Raw genomic sequence first — 19,674 nt, forward strand, 5'->3', positions numbered from 1 at the left:
GAGTCCCACTGCTCACACTGTGAGGTTTGAAACCCAGCTAAATGGTTTTCTAAACCTGTAAAAACAATATTACTTGCAGGATTTATGTCCCAAGACTACTTTTACCTCTGAGGATCCACAGTGGCTGTCACTGCAGTTATTATGTGTTTTAGCATTTTGCACTTGAATAAAAGCAAAGTTTAATAGACAGATTGGATTCAATTCTAGGCAAAACAGTCTATGGTATTTATTCACTAATCCTTTGTTATAACTGCTGATGGGAGAATTAGAAGTACTGAAATTATATCCTTTAAAATTAATTAAAGCATAATTATTAATCACACAATATTTTTTCATCCAGGCCTCCTTTTCTTTGTCATGCATGCATATTAATTGAGGATGGAGAATATCTACGCTTGTTCAGGCCAGCCAACATACGACAGTTTACTTCAAGACAGGAGACATGGGTTGAATGCTGGTATGTTTTAACTCTGCAGCGCAAACAGTTGCAACAAGTGTGGTGAACTAATCACCAGATGGCCCTTTGCTGCCTTATTTGTCATTGTGCCTTACATGTAGCTTGCAGGATTTGATTACGCTTATGTTTTGTGGTGATCATACTTTCAACTATTCCTAAAATACTGCTTCAGTCTTATCTGTTTGGGGTCAACTGCTGAGGATTTCATACAAATTAATGAAGTTTGTGAATCTAAACTTCTACACAAAGGGGGAAATATTTGCAAATCATTTATCTTGTAAGAGACTAAAATTTAGAATATTTTTAAATATATTTAAGATATATTCAAAAATCTACAACAACAAACTAACTAAATAAAAATCAGACAACTCTTTAAAAATGGGCAAAAGACTTCAACATATATTTCCCTAAAGAAGATATAGCCACAAATAGTAGCACAGGAAAAGCTGCTCAGGATCATTAGTCATTAGGGAAATGCAAATGAAAAACACAAGCAGCCACCAATATACACCTACTAGGATGATTTAAAGGAAAATAAGTGTGAACAAGGATGTAAAGAAATTGTAACCCTGATACATTGATGGTAGAAATGGATAAAGTTGCAGCCACTGTGAAAAACAGTCTGCAGTGGCTCAGAAGGTTAAATATAGAACCCCTGTTGGACCCAGGAACTCTACTCTTAGGCACCCCAAAGAATAGAGAACAGAAATCAAACAGATGTTTGTATACTAATGTTTGTAGCATCACTTTTCACAGGAGCCAAAAGGTGGAAATAATCCAACCATCAGTGAACAAATGAATGTAATAAAAGCAAGGTGGTCTGCATGCAATGCTACATCATCCATCTGTAAAAAACGAACATCATTTTGATAGATGATACAACATGGGTGGACATTGAGAACATTATGCTTAGTGAAATAAGCCAGACACAAAAGGAATATATTGTATAATTGTAATTACATGAAGTGCCTAGAATAGTCAAATTCATACAAGAGAAAGTGGGATAGGAATCACCATGGGCTGGAAATAGGGGGAAGGCGCTATATTGCTTATTGTGGACAAGGTTTTGTAAGAAATCATCAAAATTGTGGGTGTAGATAGTGGTGTTGGTTATGCAACCCTGTGAATATATTGAATGCCACGGAGTGCACACTTTGGTTAAAAGGTTCAAATGATAAATAATGTGTTATATATATTTCCCCACGATAGAAAACATGCACAGCCAAGCCCAGATGCCAGTCTTGTTAGCTGCCTTCCTTTACCTTCAAGAGTGGGCTGAAGCTTGTCCAATCTTTCAAGGTTGCTGAAGACTGTATGATGGAAGTCATCTGCATTGGGAAAGAAATTAATGGAGAGAGGAGAAAACTTGAGAATCCACACTACTCACCCTGCAGGGCCAAGAACTCTGTCTCCCATGCATTGCTGACCCATCTCAGTATTTCCTGTGACCACCTCCTTTTTCAACTGAAGACTTTGCACCTGAAGGGGTTCCCAGGTTTTTCACCTCGGCCCTTGTCAGGACTGATCCTCTCAACTACTGACCATTTCACCTCCATTCATGTCCATGCCACATCAGGCTGTGTTGTCTAGATGGCATGAATCTACCCCAAATGTCCCTTTCTGGAGGAAGCCACCATTATGCTGTACCTCCAAGCATAATGATACGTCCACACACACCAAGGCACCTCACTCATGCAAGGTGTGTGTCCTCTAACAAAGTTTCACGCTCTAAACCCAGATAACTTTTGAAACCCAAGTTCTGTTGATTCCCCTACTTTGGGTGCTCCATAGATGCTCATTTGTCTACTAAACACTGCCCCAGGCAATTAAATATTCCAAAGTGACCAGCAGAATTTTTATGTTAATTCTGACATTGCATTGTTAGTACAAGTGTTTTTCCCCCTTCAAATTTATGTCTTTGTTACTGATAAATGTAACTGATAATGCTTTTTTCAGCTATGTTGCCAAGCATATTTATATAAAAATATACTCAGATTGTTTTCAGAATTTGACAAAGATGATAGCAACAACGATAATCTCATTTGTCTTATACTAATCTTTATGTGTTACTTTCATCATTTCTTACATATTGGGGCCTACCATACATTGTACGGTGAAATTAGTGCTATGCATCATGGTAGGAATATAAATTGGCAAAAGTAATTTAGAAAATAGTTCCCTTCTTTCTTAAAAAAATTAGGCTGGGTGTGGTGGCTCATGCCTATAATCCCAGCACTTTGGGAGGCAGAGGTGGGTGGATCACCTGAGGCTAGGAGTTTGAGACTAGCCTGACCAACACAGCAAAATCCCGTCTCTACTGAAAATACAAAAATTATCCAGGCGTGGTGGTGTGTGCCAGTTGTCCCAGCTACTCGGGAGGTTGAGGCATGAGAATTGCTTAAACCTGGGAGATGGAGGTTCCAGTGAGCCGAGATTGTGCCACTGCACTCCAGCCTGGGTCTCAGAAAAAAAAAAATTTTTTTTGACCAAAATGTCATTATGCATTACATGACTGTATATGAATGCTCAAAGCTACTTTACTCATCAAAGAAAATAACAAAACAATTAAATGTCCATTAACTGATAAATGAATAAACACTATCTGTATGAATAAACACAGCAGACTATGAAGGAAAACACATGACCAGCACGTGCTAACACGTCAATTAACTTCAAACATAGTATGCTAAATGAGGGAAGTCAGATTCCAAATATATATATATGTCCATTTCTATAAAGCAAGTGGGAAATTTATGGAGATGGAATGTCACAGCAGTATTGCTTAGGGCTGGAGATGGGAGTGGGGATTAACTGCCAGTGCGCAAGAGAGAACTTGGGTGAGGGAAACATATTTAAATTAGATCGTGGTGTTGGGTGCACACAGTATCAATTTAATAAAGCATCAAATTCTAGACCTTTTCAGTGGGCAAACTTTATGGTGGGTTCACACCCAATATAGGTGTTAAAAATAATGTTACGGAAATTCTTGTCGGGTTTTTAACAAGCCAAGAGATATGCTGTGAAAGCAGCATTAATTCAAGTGGTTGTCACAGGTCACTTAAAGTTAATCAGATAGTTGTCCTACAAATATAGGGTGAATGTTATTCATGAATTTCCTGAATCTATTGCAATAATCACATTTTTTTCCATTAAACTCTTGAGGTAGCTAATTTTATTTATTGCATTTTCAATGTTAATCTACTATTTCATATGTTGAGATTAACTCACATTAGTCAGAATTTAAAGTATTTTAAAATATCACAGAATTTAATTTACCTTATCTGGTTTTGGTTTCAAGACTATAGTAGCCATTTCATTTAATTGTACATGTAGGGTATTCTAATTTATGGAAAACTATTACATTTTCCTTGATTTTTTTTTTTTTAGAAATTACTTCTAGGGATCTATATGGTAGAGTCCATGGAGAATTGTTTTAATTCTTCATTCATGTCTTCAGTGGGTATAGGATTGGTCATATTGGTCATAGTTTTCTGCTCGGATTTCAATAAGAAACTTGTGGAAGAACCTGAAGGGTGGGATCTTTGAGGGAGCCTAAGACAGAGCAAGACAAGCTAAGAAGGAGGGCAGTGCCACAGCAGAACTGCCGTTGATGCCCCCTCGCCTAGATTGCGGAAGAGACATCCAGCTGTAGACACTGAGGTGCAGGAAAACAATGGAGCACCATCAGAGAAAGCAGTGCCCAGGAACAAGGAGGCACTGATGGTGGCAAGGGGCAAAGACAGCTGCCACGAGGCTGTTCACATGAGGGTCTCAGGCTGCATAGACACCCACACCAGCTGAGGGGTCCTGGTTTTCATAAAGTGTGTGGCTCAGCCAGGCCACCAACAAGCAGTTCACAAACAGTAGTAATACGACACTTTCCAAAGACCTTACTTGAGTAACACGGTGATCCTCACAAATTTCCAATCAGGATGGTCGCACAGTTCCTCCTGCTTTAGGACTCAGAGCCTGCCCGTGGTCACAGTGGGTAGGTGCAGACTCTGAAGATGCACTTTGGTCAGAGACCCTGCTGAACTCTGTCTAATGAGGACCTCTGTCCTGTCTGCTGACCACCGGTCAGAGGTGCAGGCTGCAGTGGGGAGTAAGAATGCCACCTTCTCAATGTTGGGAAAACTCCCTGCCAGAACTGAGAATGGCCCTTTCTAAGCAGAAGGCAAGCTCAGACTAAAGAAGGAGGCCGAACACATCAGGTTGGCAGATTGCCAAAGATTCACTCAGGGAGAGCCCACATCCTGGGCCATCTTGGGTGGTGGCAAGATGAGGTAGACGACTGCTTTTGCAACACACACCTGACAACAAAAATTCAACAACTGTAAAAGAGCCACAAAATCCCCAAATATTTGCAAATTAGCAATGCACTTTTAAATAACTCTTGGGTTAAAGAAGAAGTCTCAATAGAAAATTAAAAATACTTTTAACTACATTAAAAGAAAATGTGACTTGGCAAGATTTCTGGATGTAGCAAAAGCAGTCCTTAGAGGGAAATCTATAGCATTGGATGCAATATACTAAAAATCACAAGACCTAAAATCAGTAATATCATGTTTCAATTAGGGAACTATAGAAAATAGAGGAATGCAATGGAAAGCAAGTAAAAGTAATAAACAACATCACAGAAATCAATAAAATTAAAACACTGAAATCATCAGAAAATCAATAAAACCAAAAGCTGGTTCTTTGATATGCTCATTACAATGAATGAATTGATATGCAGGCTAACCAAGAAAAAGAAGATAACACAAATGACCAATTTCAGAAATAAAAGAGGAGCCATCTCTACTGAACTGTTAGGCATTAAAAGGAATATCATGAACAGTTCTATGACCGCAGTCTGATAACCTCAGTGAAATGTATCAATTCCTTGAAAGGCAATCTTCCCAAGGTCATGCTAGGATCCTAATTTGAATAAACTTATGTCTACTAAATAAGTTGAATTCACATTAAGAGCATTCCGAAAAAGAAAGCACCAGGCCCAGATGGTTTCTCTCATGAAATCTACCGAATTCTTCAACAGGTGAATAAAAAGACAAAAATTCATTGAATGCAATATTATTTGGTGATTTAATGTGCCATTTTTTGCCATTAAGGCATAAAAAAGACATGAAAGCAGCTAAAGCGTACATCAATTTAGTGCAATAAATTCATCTGAAAAAACTACATAATATATGATTCCAACTATATGACATTCTGGAAAAGGCAAAGCTGAAGCGATAGTAAAAATATTAATAGTTGCCAAGGTTTCTGGAGAAAGAGGACAGAGATTAATGAGAAGAGAGGATTTTTAGGGAAGTGAACATTTTCTTTATGAGACCATAAGGGTGAACATAATGTTTTAAATATTTCAAAATTCATATATATGTATAACAGAAAGAATGAACATTATGCAAATGTAGACTTCAGATAATAATGTGTCAATATTTTCTCATTATTCTAGCAAATGTACCACAGTAATGTAAGATGTTACTAATAGGTGAAATTAGGAAGTGAGGGTGAGGAGACAGAATAATATGGGAACTTCGTGTATTATATACTCAATTTTTATGTATTTATTTATTTATTTATTTTGAGATGGAGTTTCACTCTTGTCACCCAGGCTGGAGTGCAATGGCATGATCTTGGCTCACTGCAACCTCTGCCTCCTGGGTTCAAGCGATTCTCCTGCCTCAGCCTCCTGAGTAGCTGGGATTACAGGCACCTGCCACCACACCGGGCTAATTTTTTTGGATTTTTAGTAGAGATGGGGTTTCACCATGTTGGCCAGGCTGGTCTCCAACTCCTGACCTCAGATGATCCGCCTGCCTTGGCCTCCTAAAGTGCTGGGATTATAAGTGTGAGCCACCACGCCCGGCCATATGCTCAGTTTTTATGTCAATTTAAAACTCTCTAAAGAAATATATTAATTGAAAAATAATAATATAGCACCACTCTTTCAGGGAGATCTATGCTTATATTTAACAACCAGGTAAGTTCTAGACATTAGCTTGAAGCATTGTCTATCATTAAACATGAACCAAAATTGACTTTTAAGTAGATATTTACTTTTGTGGTGGTAGCAATATTTACTGACCAGGCAAATTAGAATCCTGACACATTAAAAAATATGGCTTAGTCTCTTCATAGTTTCCTCTTACATATGGGACACTGAATACTCCCCGCAACTGCAATTCTTGAATCAACTTAATTAATGAACTTCCACAGTACCTTCTTGTGGGTACCTCTTCTTCTTTACCCGGGAGCCATGAGGTCTCCTACACTGGTTGGTGTGCACAGCATAGCTTCTTGTGTTCTCTATCAGAGAAGATGCTGGTTAATGCATTGACAATAGATAGGGCTGTTGACATCTTGCTGACAGAAGACCAGAGGGAAAATAGTGATAATCTGTTCTAAGTTTAAACTTATGATCCTTTTTTTACAGGCTTCCAAGCAGAGCCCACTGAATCAAAGTTGGGTTTCAGGAAGATCACGGAGTTCAGTGAGCACTCAACACCTCTATCAGACAGACTGCGTGGGCAGTGCCTTCCTGGAGAGGGGAACACAGCCGGATGACTGTGAGTGCAGGGCTGGTGCAGAGTGGGGGCCCGGATTCAAATTCCACTAAGCCATGTGGACCTGGCAAGCTCATGTCCTCCCTCTGCCCTCAGTTCTCTGCACTGTCATAATGTAATTTTAGCAATACTTTTTAGGCCCTATTTAAGCCCTACTTCTTAGTATCACAGTACAGGGCTAAAAAATCACTAAATACAGGAAAACCTTAGAGAGGACTGGTACTTCAGTAATGTTCTCTAAGTGTTTACTACATGCCAGGAGGAATAAGCTGGACACTTAGCAGTGGCGGAATATGGAGGGGGAACTTGGATGGCTCCGGGGCAGTGGAGCATGCTTTCCTGTTCGGCTTTTCCGTGGGCATGACGCCTTATGGTTTATGGAGAACATCAGCCCTGCAGGGGGTGCAGAGGAGGGGCTGTGGCTGAGATTTTACACTTGAGGGTGCTGACATTCAGAGATGATAAGTGACGAGCAGAACCTCAACCCCGCTGAGTGAAGGACCTGAGATGGGAAATGTATTTGGTTCCCTAGAGAGAGAGATTCCTGAAAAACTGCCACCTCTTCATCACGCCCTGTGCCAGAGACCCAAGAGACCCCTCACTGTCTTTCTCCAGTCCTCCTAGCCCAAGGTGTGTGGGTGGACAAAGGTGGTGCTCTGGAGGAAATGCCTGAGATAAGGACAGGTCCTTAATGATAAAGAATTCTCCTTCCTCTTTCAGATCCTTGACCTCCCAGTATGACAGCTTAAAGGCTGTCATCTCTGTGGCCTGCCTCCCCTTGCCCTTCACCCTGCCAGCTGCCTCTCAGTGACTGTCTCCTCCAGTGACTACACTGAGGGACCAGGGACTGCTTGCCTCCCGAGGCTGCTCAGACCTTCTGACACCGCAAAATGATTGTCAAAAATGGGTCTGCAAAGAGTAACTTCCCTTCCACTGATCAAACCTGAATATGCAAGCTACTGTCAATTAACTGGAAAAGTGGCCGTGTGGGCTGGTGCTTTGGTGATTTAATGAATTAAGTCTGCAAGCCCCACTGCCTCCTTGACTATTGATCAGAGCTGCCTGCAATAAGGTCTGGCTAAGAATGGGCAGTGGCTGCACCAGCTCTGGGTAAAATTTGACCTAAAATGACCAATCTCATTCACTAACCTCACCATAGTCTTATGGGTTCAATGGACCTGTCCAATCCTTTGCTCTGTTCTCTCCATCACCTTCCTGTGTAATTTTCCTCCACCACGCACATAATAGAAACATGGCACAGGGGAGCTAATCGCCTCTTTTATCCCCCACTTCAGGCTCACACATAAGTTTATAGTAAAAGCCTTTTCAAATGACTGCTTTAACTGCTGCTACAGCATGTGTCATCAGTTGAATGGAATCTGTCACGTGACTTTAAGCAACCCTTTGCTGAGAGACAAGATTCAATACTAGGGACAGTATTCTAGTGTACTACATCATTGATTTTATGTTATGAAGATCATCATTTATTGAAAATGTATAAATAATGAAGCCCAGCCTTACTCTTCAACGCTGTGTGTGTAAATCCACTGAGTGTGCTGACCCCCACGCTTGTACCCACCTGCTAACACAGAAAGGGTCCACTCAGAAGGGAGGCACAGCTCCAGCACTGAGGCTGCCCACACCAGCTTCACAAGAGGGTTGCCACAAGGACGACGGATACCCGGATAACAACCAAATGGTAATTTGAGTACTTAATGGTCATGATCCCTAAAGTGTGTAGCTCAGAGGGCTTGTGGTGATAACTCCATCAAGACTCTAAAGCATCTCCCCAATTCTTACTGGACTTGATCCATGTCTTGAGGAGACCCAGCTATGACACGCAGGCACCACGTTGTCCTACTTAGTGCCTCCCTTAGTGTTTCAGAACCTGTGATTTGATCAGAAACATGGGCTTTCTATGTTGGTTTCACACTAAGGACTATGTGACACCTGCAGGAAGATGTCTACATAGCTACCTGGATTATGAGATCATGACGTTCTCTTATGTGAGGGATGGCATTTGGGATCTCTGCAGGTGTGGGTAATTCCAGGCATAGAGGGTGCTGGAACTCCCTTGCATGGTGAATAGTGATCTCTTCACTGGCTGATAAATAGAGGTTGTAGTTCAGGCCTTCAACATTAGCACCGTATGAGGAAACATTTTGACTCTTCACTATGCAGCAAGTGAACCAGAGCACATTTATTTATGTGGCTTAGTTTCTCCATCTGGCATGTGGGCTCAATAAACAAGCTCACAACATATGGGCATGATGATGATGAGGTGTGAACTAATGTAAGTAAAGTATGTGGTCTGATTTGTTAAATTAAGAAAAATGGCACTGAGAGTTGTGCTGGGTAAACACAACATTTTTTTCCTGGGGGAAACACAGATAGACACACATTCACAAGCAAATCATGCAGACTTGCACACAGACCACCTCACCCCACCCCCGCCCTAATACACACATACCCACACACAACCTAATGTGAACATGTTCCCAGAAACTATACATAGATAAAAAGAGTATGTCACCAGGAAAACCAGTTTCTTTTACTATACCCTACATCCTCATTCCCACCAGATGTCTTGGATCATGGAGGCTCTCCAGACAAAAGCCAGCAGTTAAGCTCCAGATTTCCTGTAGAATCCTTTTCTAACAACCAGTGAGTGATTCCAGAATACGTACCATTGAATGTGCTCCCTGAAGTCACCTGTAATTAGAGAAGGAAAACACTCTGAGAATCAGGCTATGCTATGGATGGCTCACACAGGTCTTTTGTTCACTTGGAAACTCTGGGTAACCAAGATTGGAAATAAGGTTCAAGTCAAAAGCCCCAACTCTAGAGTAGAGTTCCCTTAGGAAAGCACAGGAGCTTTTCTTGAAGAATGTTTCTGTCTAGGTAATTTTTGAGTAGCAATTGCAGAATTCTTATCTAAAGTGGAAAGCTTGTTCCTGAAGAAAACATCCCTTAACACCCAGTGTACTATCTGACACTGCCAATTTTGCACGTCCTCTGGAATCAGGTGTCAGTTGGTAAAATACACCTCCTCCATCCCCAAGGAAATATTATCTAACACCTATAATGTAGTGGATAATTTTCCCATAGCTGATATCAACTGAAAAATAAAGGATCCAAGAAAACAACATTTACATCTTAGGCAAAGACAGGCTACTTTACCTTGGTAGTAGAGTAGGGCTTCCTTTTCACACGCTTTTTGGAAGGCTTCTTCGAGTCACCTAGGGGATGTGGAGGGACACAGCATGGCTGTCAGTTCATTGGCAGTGCTACTCATGAATGACTCAGGGACTGGAACTTAGGGGCGTGCCTGGTTAACAAGCATGGAATGAGCTTCTCCTGGACCATCTTCTTCACGGACCAAGGAAGGCAAAGAAAGAGCAGCAAGGAAATGAGAGTAGAGCCCTTGGCTTTCCAGGTAATGGCAAATGAAAGCAACGTGAAATAATCAACTCCAAATGAACAAATGCTAAAATACATGCTAGGATTCAACCACAGCATCCTGTCACTTCTTCAGACCCTTTAAAAGCCCAGCAGGACTGCCACTACCTTCTTGACATCTACCAAGTCCCTTTCAACCTCCACAGACCCACATACACTGCTACTGCATTTATCATGGAGGGTATAGGGTTCTGCCTCGTTTATGTGTGAATTTTTTAAAAACTAGATTTAATACCATGCACCAGCATTAATTGTATTTATTTCTTTTCTTGGTTATGAAAATAATCAGTCAGGCATAGTGGCTCACACCTGTAATCCCAGCAGTTTGGAAGGTGGAGGTGGGTGGATCATTTGAGGTCAGGAGTTCGAGACCAGCCTGACCAACATGGTAAAACCCCATCATTGAAGATAAATGTTTTATATCCATGGTTAACAGATGAGATGACCATGAAATGAACACCAGTGTACTGGGTGGAGCAGCATATCTATTCAGTCTTCGGCACTAAAACCTGTGAAACAATATCATCTTGCCTTATTTACTAACAAATACAAGTGCCTCTAAACTTAGTTTCCAAGTCATGGAACTGATGAGCACTTAGCTCCTGCAGAGAGCTCTGGATGATGGGTCGGGAGAACAAAGACACAATACATCAAAACGGCATTAACAAGTAAACAGGTTTTCAAAGCCCTCTACATGCAAATTTACACAATTATCCTTTTAATTTTTATCTTCATATATATGTACATAATCTACTTGCTTCTGAGTATAAATAAAACTGTATGTTCTTAGTTAATAGTCTCTATAAATTCACTCTATTTATCTTTCTGAGTTGAAATACTGCATCTCATTGGATAACAAAAAAAAATTTGACTAAGATTACACTGGAAAGGTGAGTAGGTTGGGTGATTGACTGTGATTGAGAATTCCATGATTCTGGATAACTTCCAAAGCATAAAAATAAATGTGTGTTTTATTTCACACGTAGACAATACACATACTTATTACTTTAAAAAATTAATATGTGCATGGAAGTGACTTACTACAAATAAAGTAAATACACATTTCACAAAAAAAGAAGAGAGGAAGGGAAAAACATGTTAAAAACAAAGAGAGGTACATTTTATTGTGTGAAAAGCCTCCAACGGATCCATACTACTGCGGCTTTGTTCCAAAGTTTTGGAAAGTAATGATTTCGTAGGTTCTTAATTGGGTTAAAAACTGCATTAAAATAGACTCTGCCATATTCTCCCCTGGGGAATAACTTAATCTGTGGGGTGGGGAATGGAACGTTGAAGGATGCAGGATGTAAAAGGAAATTATATATATATTATATATATTATATATTATATGATATATATAATATATATATTATTTATTATATATATTATATGTTATATATAATATATATAAATAATATATAATGTACATAATATATAATATATAATATATATTATATATTATATATTATATATTATATACATAATATATAATATATAATATATAATATATATTATATATTATATAATATATATTATCTATAATATATATAATATATTATATATATTATATATATTATATTTAATATATTATATATATTATATATAATATATTATATATAATATATATAATATATTATATATAATATATTAAATACATTATATATATATTTTATATATATATATTTTTTATATATATATATATAATATATATATATAATTTGGGAATTTGGGAATAAACTGAATCCCAATTCACACTGGGACTACACCAGCTGCCACCATGCCTGGCTAATTTTTTGTATTTGTAGTAGAGACAGGGTTTCACTGTATTGGCCAGGATGGTCTTGATCTCCTCACCTTGTGATCCTCTTGCCTTGGCCTCCCAAAGTGCTGGGATTATAGGCCTGAGTCAAGATACATATTTTTTAAATGAAGAAAAATTTGAAAGATACTCTGCTTGGTACAATAATCAAATATATAAATTGAGGAATAAAACATAATCATGAAACATATTTATAACTGCATATGGAAAATACAGAGGCTAATTTTTTAAATAACATATTTTGAAAGCATTAACTAGTAATTTGAAAAGATCGCATTTGACAGGCCAGTATGAACATACCTTGAATGCAGCCACACAGGTTCCCCATAAGAAAAATCAAAATCAGGGAAAATGAAACCTCAATGGTTCAATCTGCTCTGACCTTTGAAAAACTCAGCACAGATAGTGGCACTTAGGACCAAGGGCAGGAGATCCCTAATCCCATCACCATGGCGATAGGGCATAAACATTCCAGGGTGAAGGCACAATCCACACTGTGAGGTCCAACTGCTGCCATGCAGACAGGTGGGCTTTTACAAGTACAGGAAGGTCATCAAAGGCTCAGTGTTTTGTTTCAAAAACTGAATCCCAAGCCCACACATTATTATGCTGGCTTCTTAAAATAAGTTATGAGATGGGAAATAGGGCACCCACAAATATATATATATATAATTATATATAATATAATATGTAGTATATATATAATATATTTAATATATTATATATATATATATATATATATATATATATATATATATATATATATATAAAATTTGGGAATTTGGGAATAAACTGAATCCCAATTCACACTGGGACTACACCAGCTGCCACCATGCCTGGCTAATTTTTTGTATTTGTAGTAGAGGCAGGGTTTCACTGTATTGGCCAGGGTGCTCTTGATCTCCTCTCCTTGTGATCCTCTTGCCTTGGCCTCCCAAAGTGCTGGGATTACAGGCCTGAGTCAAGATACATATTTTTTAAATGAAGAAAAATTTCAAAGATACTCTGCTTGGTACAATAATCAAATATATAAATTGAGGAATAAAACATAATCATGAAACATATTTATAACTGCATATGGAAAATACAGAGGCTAATTTTTTAAATAACACATTTTGAAAGCATTAACTAGTAATTTGAAAAGATCGCATTTGACAGGCCAGTATGAACATACCTTGAATGCAGCCACACAGGTTCCCCATAAGAAAAATCAAAATCAGGGAAAATGAAACCACAATGGTTCAATCTGCTCTGACCTTTGTAAAACTCAGCACAGATACTGGCACTTAGGACCAAGGGCAGGAGATCCCTAATCCCATCACCATGGCGATAGGGCATAAACATTCCAGGGTGAAGGCACAATCCACACTGTGAGGTCCAACTGCTGCCATGCAGACAGGAGGGCTTTTACAAGTACAGGAAGGTCATCAAAGGCTCAGTGTTTTCTTTCAAAAACTGAATCCCAAGCCCACACATTATTATGCTGGCTTCTTAAAATAAGTTATGAGATGGGAAATAGGGCACCCACAAATATATATATATATAATTATATACAATATAATATATATATAATTATATACAATATAATATATATAATATATATAACATATACATAATTTCCTTTTACATCCTGCATCCTTATATTATATATAATATTATGTATAATATAATATGTATTATTATATATAATATAATATATATGAATATATATAATTATATAATATAATATGTAATTCTATATAATTCTATATAATATAATATATATTATATATAAATATATATAATATACTATATTATATATAAATATATATAATATACTATATTATATATAAGTATACATAATATATTATATATACGTATATATAATATAATATGTAATATAATATAATAATATATTATATTATATTATATATTATAATATAATATAATATATAATATAATATAATATATAATATTATATATAATATAATATATAATATAAAATAATATTATATATAATATATAAAATAATAATACTTTAAATTAATTATTATTAATTAATATTAATTAATATTAAAAATAATATAAAATATAATTATTACATATAATATAATCTATAATTATTATATATAATATAATATACAATTATATATAATATTATATATAATAAAATATATATAATTATGTGTATTTATTACATATAATATAATACATAAATTATATATAATTATTACATATAATATAATATATAATTATATATAATTATTACATATGATATAATATATAATTATATATAATTATTACATATAATATAATATATATAATTATATATAATTATATAATTATATATACAAGATAATAATATATAATATATAATATATATTACATAATATTTTATATAATATATTATACTATATATTATATAATATTTTATATAAAATATTATATATTATACATAATATAATATTTTATACAATATAATATATAATATATATTATATTATCATATGTTATACAATATGTTATAGTATAATATATATTATAATCTAATATATTTTATATTATTATATAATATTATATTATATATAACATTATATAGTATTATATATTTTATAATAATAATATAATATATAATATATTATTATATATTATATATAATATATAATATATTATGACATATTATATATAATATATAATATATTATGACATATTATATATAATATATAATATATTATGATATATATTATATATAATATATAATATATTGTGATATATATAATATATCATATAATATATTATGATATATATAATATATATAATATAATATAATTATATGTAATATAATATTATATATCTTATATATCATATATTATATATTTTATATCATATACTATATATTATATATCATATATTACATATAATGTATGTCACATATTATATGTAATATATGTCACATATATGTAATATATGTCATATATTATATGTAATATATATCATATATTATATATGTCATTTATTCTGTAATATGTATCATACATATTACATAATATGTATTATGGTGTCTGGTGGTCCCAGGACACAGACTGATGTCACTCAGCCTCACATGACACTCTGTCCTCACCACACTTGGGGTCCTGGGAGTCGTAGCACCAGGCACCTATAGAGACAGTGGGCAGGAGGCTGAGCTGAGAGACCAGTCATCTGGGCCCTCTCCAAGCCCCATCCCATCAACTGGGGTGGAAGAATGAAGTAGGCCAGGGGCTTAGGCCAGGGGAGGCCAGTGAAGAACCTTCTCTCCTGTCACCCCTACCCCAGTATTTTCTCTCCCCAGTCCCTCCCCACTCCCAGTGGCAAGACCTAAGGGGTGGTGGAGCATGGCAAGAGGGTAGATTGGAGACCAGACGGGAAGAGTCCTGGTGCTCACTCTCAGAGTCTGCACCACACCAGCTGCACTGCAAGGCGAGCATGATGCCAGGGGCGTGCGTGGCTCAGTGGCAGCCGCAGCTAGGAAGGACTAGAAAGTGGCTAGACCGCGGAGCCAGGATGCTGGCCTGGCTGCTACATATTTATTCATTAGCTAGCTGGGCTAGGGGCGTGGCTATTGAGGAGAGGATGGGAGGGGTCGGTGCCCAGGCAGGGCCACCAGGAAGAGCGGGAGCGCTCCAAACTCACCCAGGTGTGCTCTGGTCCCAGGGCTGCACTGATGCCAGCAACAATCGCTGAGGTTAATCCTGCAGGGGAGGGGTGACCTATTATTATCCCCACTTACAGTCCAGGAAACAGAGGCTGGGGACCAGAATGACACACCAAAGCCACCAGCAAGAAAGGTCAAATAGTGAGGGCACCTTGAACCCCAGCGCCCATGACTTTCGGGGCAAGGATGGGAGGAAGGTGTAGGATGTCTCTTGCCCCGCTGTGGGCCTGGAACTGCCACCCCATCCCAAGACCACAGCCTCCCTCCTGCCCAGGCCCCCCTGCTGATCCAGGCCAAGATGGAGCCCTGCAGGAGGTCAGAGGAGGGGACTTCTTTGCACCCTGCGCCTCTTTCCAATCGCCAGAGGGCAGGGCCCTACCCACATTGGGGATGGGAAGTCAAATGCAGAAGTTAGGTGAAGTCAGTTCTTGGATACTCCTGTACTGTCACCCTGGTCTTATCTCATGCCTTAGCCCAAGCTGTGCACACAATGGGGTCCTAGGTCCCCCTCACCTCCCAGATTCCACCTTCCCAGGGATGGGACCCCCTAGAACCCTCGGGGGCCTGGGCAGTGGCCTTGCTGGCTCTTGCCTTCCTAGGAGCTGAGCAGGAGCTCCACTCTCAGCAGGGCAGTTCACTGCAGCCTCTGCTTCCTCAGCTCAAGCCATCCTCCCACCTCAGCCTCCTGAGTAGCTGGGAATGCAGACACACACCACCACGCCTGGCAAATTTTTGTATTTTTAGTAGAAACAGGGTTTCACCATGTTGCCCAGGCTGGTCTCGAATGCCTGAGCTCAAGCGATCTACCCACCTCGGGCTCCCAAAGTGTGGGAGCCAAGATGGGAACCCAAGCATACGGCCCCAATGCTGAGGCTCTGAACTACTGACCTGCCCTCAGCACTCAGCCTTGGGATCATGAGTCACTGTGCAAGGGAGTTCCAACATCTGCATGTATGTCTGGAATGATCTGAGCCTGCAGAGTTCCTACACACTGGCCATATTATAGGGTGGTGTCCGTGGTCACACAGCTCAGGGCAGGTATTTATTAGTACATGAATAGCTTAGCTGTGTCATAGTCTTTATGTGAAAGGCACAAAAAAAGGCACTTTGGCAGGCTCAAAGTGTGGGGATTATAGGTGTCAGCCACCGTGCCTAGCCCACTGGATGACTTATGATATCATATGTGACATTGTGACATCATGTGAGTCAGGGATGTACCCCGTTCTCAGCTGCTATATGCTATGTTACACTGACAGAATGGGAATGAAGAATGTGTCCCACTCTCTCAGCTGTTGTATTATATCATACAAGGTGCAGTGACTAAGTGTGTCAGCTGTGTCCTCATCCTACATAGCATATGAGAGTGTGTGACGGGAGATAGGATGCAGACCTGAGAAGCATTAAACACCTAGGCAATAAAGGTGCCAGCATCAGCTGAGAGCGCAGGTAGACCTCAGTCACATTTGTTACTGTGTAACTAAAAATACAAAATTAGCTGGGTGAGGTGGTGCACGCCTGTGGTCCCCACTGCTCAGGCACCTGAGGCAGGAGAATTGCTTGAACCCAGGAGGCAGAGGTTGCAGTGAGCTGAGATTGCACCACTGCACTCCAGCCTTGGGGACAGAGTGAGACTGTATCTCAAAAAAATAAAATAAAATAATCTAGGACAACCAAGAGAAGGACTCAGGCTCACCTTACTCTATGTCACATGTGATATATAACACTTGAGGGGGACACACACTTGTCACTTTGTATCACTATGTCCTATATGATAGCCAATGATAACCCAAGAGGGGGAGGCAGCCTTGTTCACACCATGTCACTTATGATATTATATGACATCAAGGAGCCCAGACCTCAGTTGCATTATGTCACTATGGCACATACAGTATCATGCAACAACTGACAGAAGGGTTGCGGGCCTGATTCACAGTGTATGTGAGTCACAAATGTCACTTATGACACCATACAGCAGGTGAGAGGGGATAGTCATTACTCACCTCGGGTCACATTGTCACACATGATACCATATGATAGCAGAGGGGGATGCAGAACTGAGTTGTATTATGTCGCTATGTAACCTGTGATAGATGATAGCTGATGCGGGTGAAGACCAAAGTTACATTTTGTACCTACATTATATGAAATATACAACATGCACGAGGGAGATGCAGACACAAATCACACTGTGTGCTGTATCCCATATATGTGTTTAATTTCTGTGTTTAAGAGAGCTGGGTTCATGAATGAACTTAGTCACTGCACCTTGTATGATATAATACAACAGCTGAGAGAGTGGGACACATTCCTCATTCCCATTCTGTCAGTGATTGACCACACCTTGTGTTAACTGTATGAGCCACTGTGTTTGGCCGTGTATAGCGCACGTGGCACGTTGTTCACTGATACATATTTGCTCCGTACTGAAGTGAGGCAGATGCATGAGTGATTGAGAATAATGCTACCTTGGTGAAGCATTCCATTTAGAAGCATGAGGTTCAGGTACTACCATCTTCTGTGATACATATTTAAATGTTAAGTTTAACAGTTAGGTCTACCATGAGTGAATGAGCCTTGCATTATCTTTGAGAATCGATGTGTTTAGCAGGGTGTGGCTCATCTAAGATAGCCTTCTTTAATGCATGTTCACTATCTGTGTTTATTAGAAATAGGTTTGTGAATGACTTAGCATAGTGTTTTCCCTATGAAACCCTGTTTATTTATTTATTTATTTATTTTGAGATGGAGTTTTGCTCTTGCAACCCAGGCTGGAGTGCAATGGTGTGGTCTTGGATCACTGCAACCTCTGCCTCCCAGGTTCAAGCGATTCTCCTGCCTCAGCCTCCTGAGTAGCTGGGATTACGGGCGTCTGCCACCACACCCAGCTAATTTTTGTATTTTTAGTAGAGACGGGGTTTCACCATGTTGGCCAGGCTGGTCTCGAGCTCCTGACCTCAGGTGATCCTCCTGCCTCAGCTTCCCAAAGTGCTGGAATTACAGGCGTGAGCCACCACACCCGGCCAAAACCCTGTTTTAAGAAGTGTGTGGTGCAGGTACTACATTCTTTGTTGTTCCAAGTTCAAACCCTGTGTTTAACAGAGATAGGTGCAAGATTGCCTAGGTGTAGCGTAGACTCTTGGAAATACTGTGGTTAGCATTCTGTGTTTTCTGTAGCATAGTTTCAGTGATGCCTGTTTAGATAGTTTATCAGATCTAGGTACTAGTGTTATGTCAGCGAAACACTGTTTAGCTGCACGCGGTGCATGTAATACTTTGTTCATTGATATTTGTTTAAATCAATCAGTGTTTACCAGAACTAGATATGTGAGTTACTGAGAATAGCCTAATCTCTGAAAATGTTTTCCAGCCTATGGTGCATGTAATATACTCTTCTATGGTACCTCTTTCCAATGTTTTTATTGTGGCAAAATATACATAACAGATTATACCATTTTTAAGTGTAGAATTTAGTGGTAGTAAGTATAGAGAGAACCTTAAAAGCAGCAAGAGAAAAGTGACTTCTCATGTGCAAGGGAGCCTCTAGAAGATTATCAGTGGATATTTCAGCAGAAACCCTGCAGGCCAGAAGGTGGTGGGATGATACATTGAAAGTACTGAAAGAGTAAAGCCTGCCAACTGAGAATACTATATTTGACAAAACTGTCCTTCAAAAGTGAAGGAGAAATTAAGACATTCCCAGA

The 19,674-nt window shown here is 38.6% G+C and overlaps 1 long non-coding RNA gene across 1 annotated transcript in view; it reads right to left on the reverse strand.

Annotated features, from left to right (window-relative positions):
- The window catches only part of LOC107987389 (family with sequence similarity 230-like), a 29,391-nt gene extending 12,243 nt beyond the window's left edge, over nucleotides 1–17,148 (reverse strand). Inside the window, exons 1-6 of the long non-coding RNA NR_166643.1 lie at nucleotides 16,862–17,148; nucleotides 15,952–16,010; nucleotides 10,204–10,262; nucleotides 9,711–9,735; nucleotides 6,680–6,766; nucleotides 1,720–1,785 (exon numbers count right to left, since the gene is read on the reverse strand). This is a non-coding gene — a long non-coding RNA (family with sequence similarity 230-like). The remainder of the gene's footprint in view (nucleotides 1–1,719; nucleotides 1,786–6,679; nucleotides 6,767–9,710; nucleotides 9,736–10,203; nucleotides 10,263–15,951; nucleotides 16,011–16,861) is intronic.
- Nucleotides 17,149–19,674: the final 2,526 nt, after the last annotated feature.

The sequence above is a fragment of the Homo sapiens genome (genome assembly GCF_000001405.40).
Source record: "Homo sapiens chromosome 22 unlocalized genomic scaffold, GRCh38.p14 Primary Assembly HSCHR22_UNLOCALIZED_CTG1".
In the NCBI taxonomy this organism is placed as follows: Eukaryota; Metazoa; Chordata; class Mammalia; order Primates; family Hominidae; genus Homo; species Homo sapiens.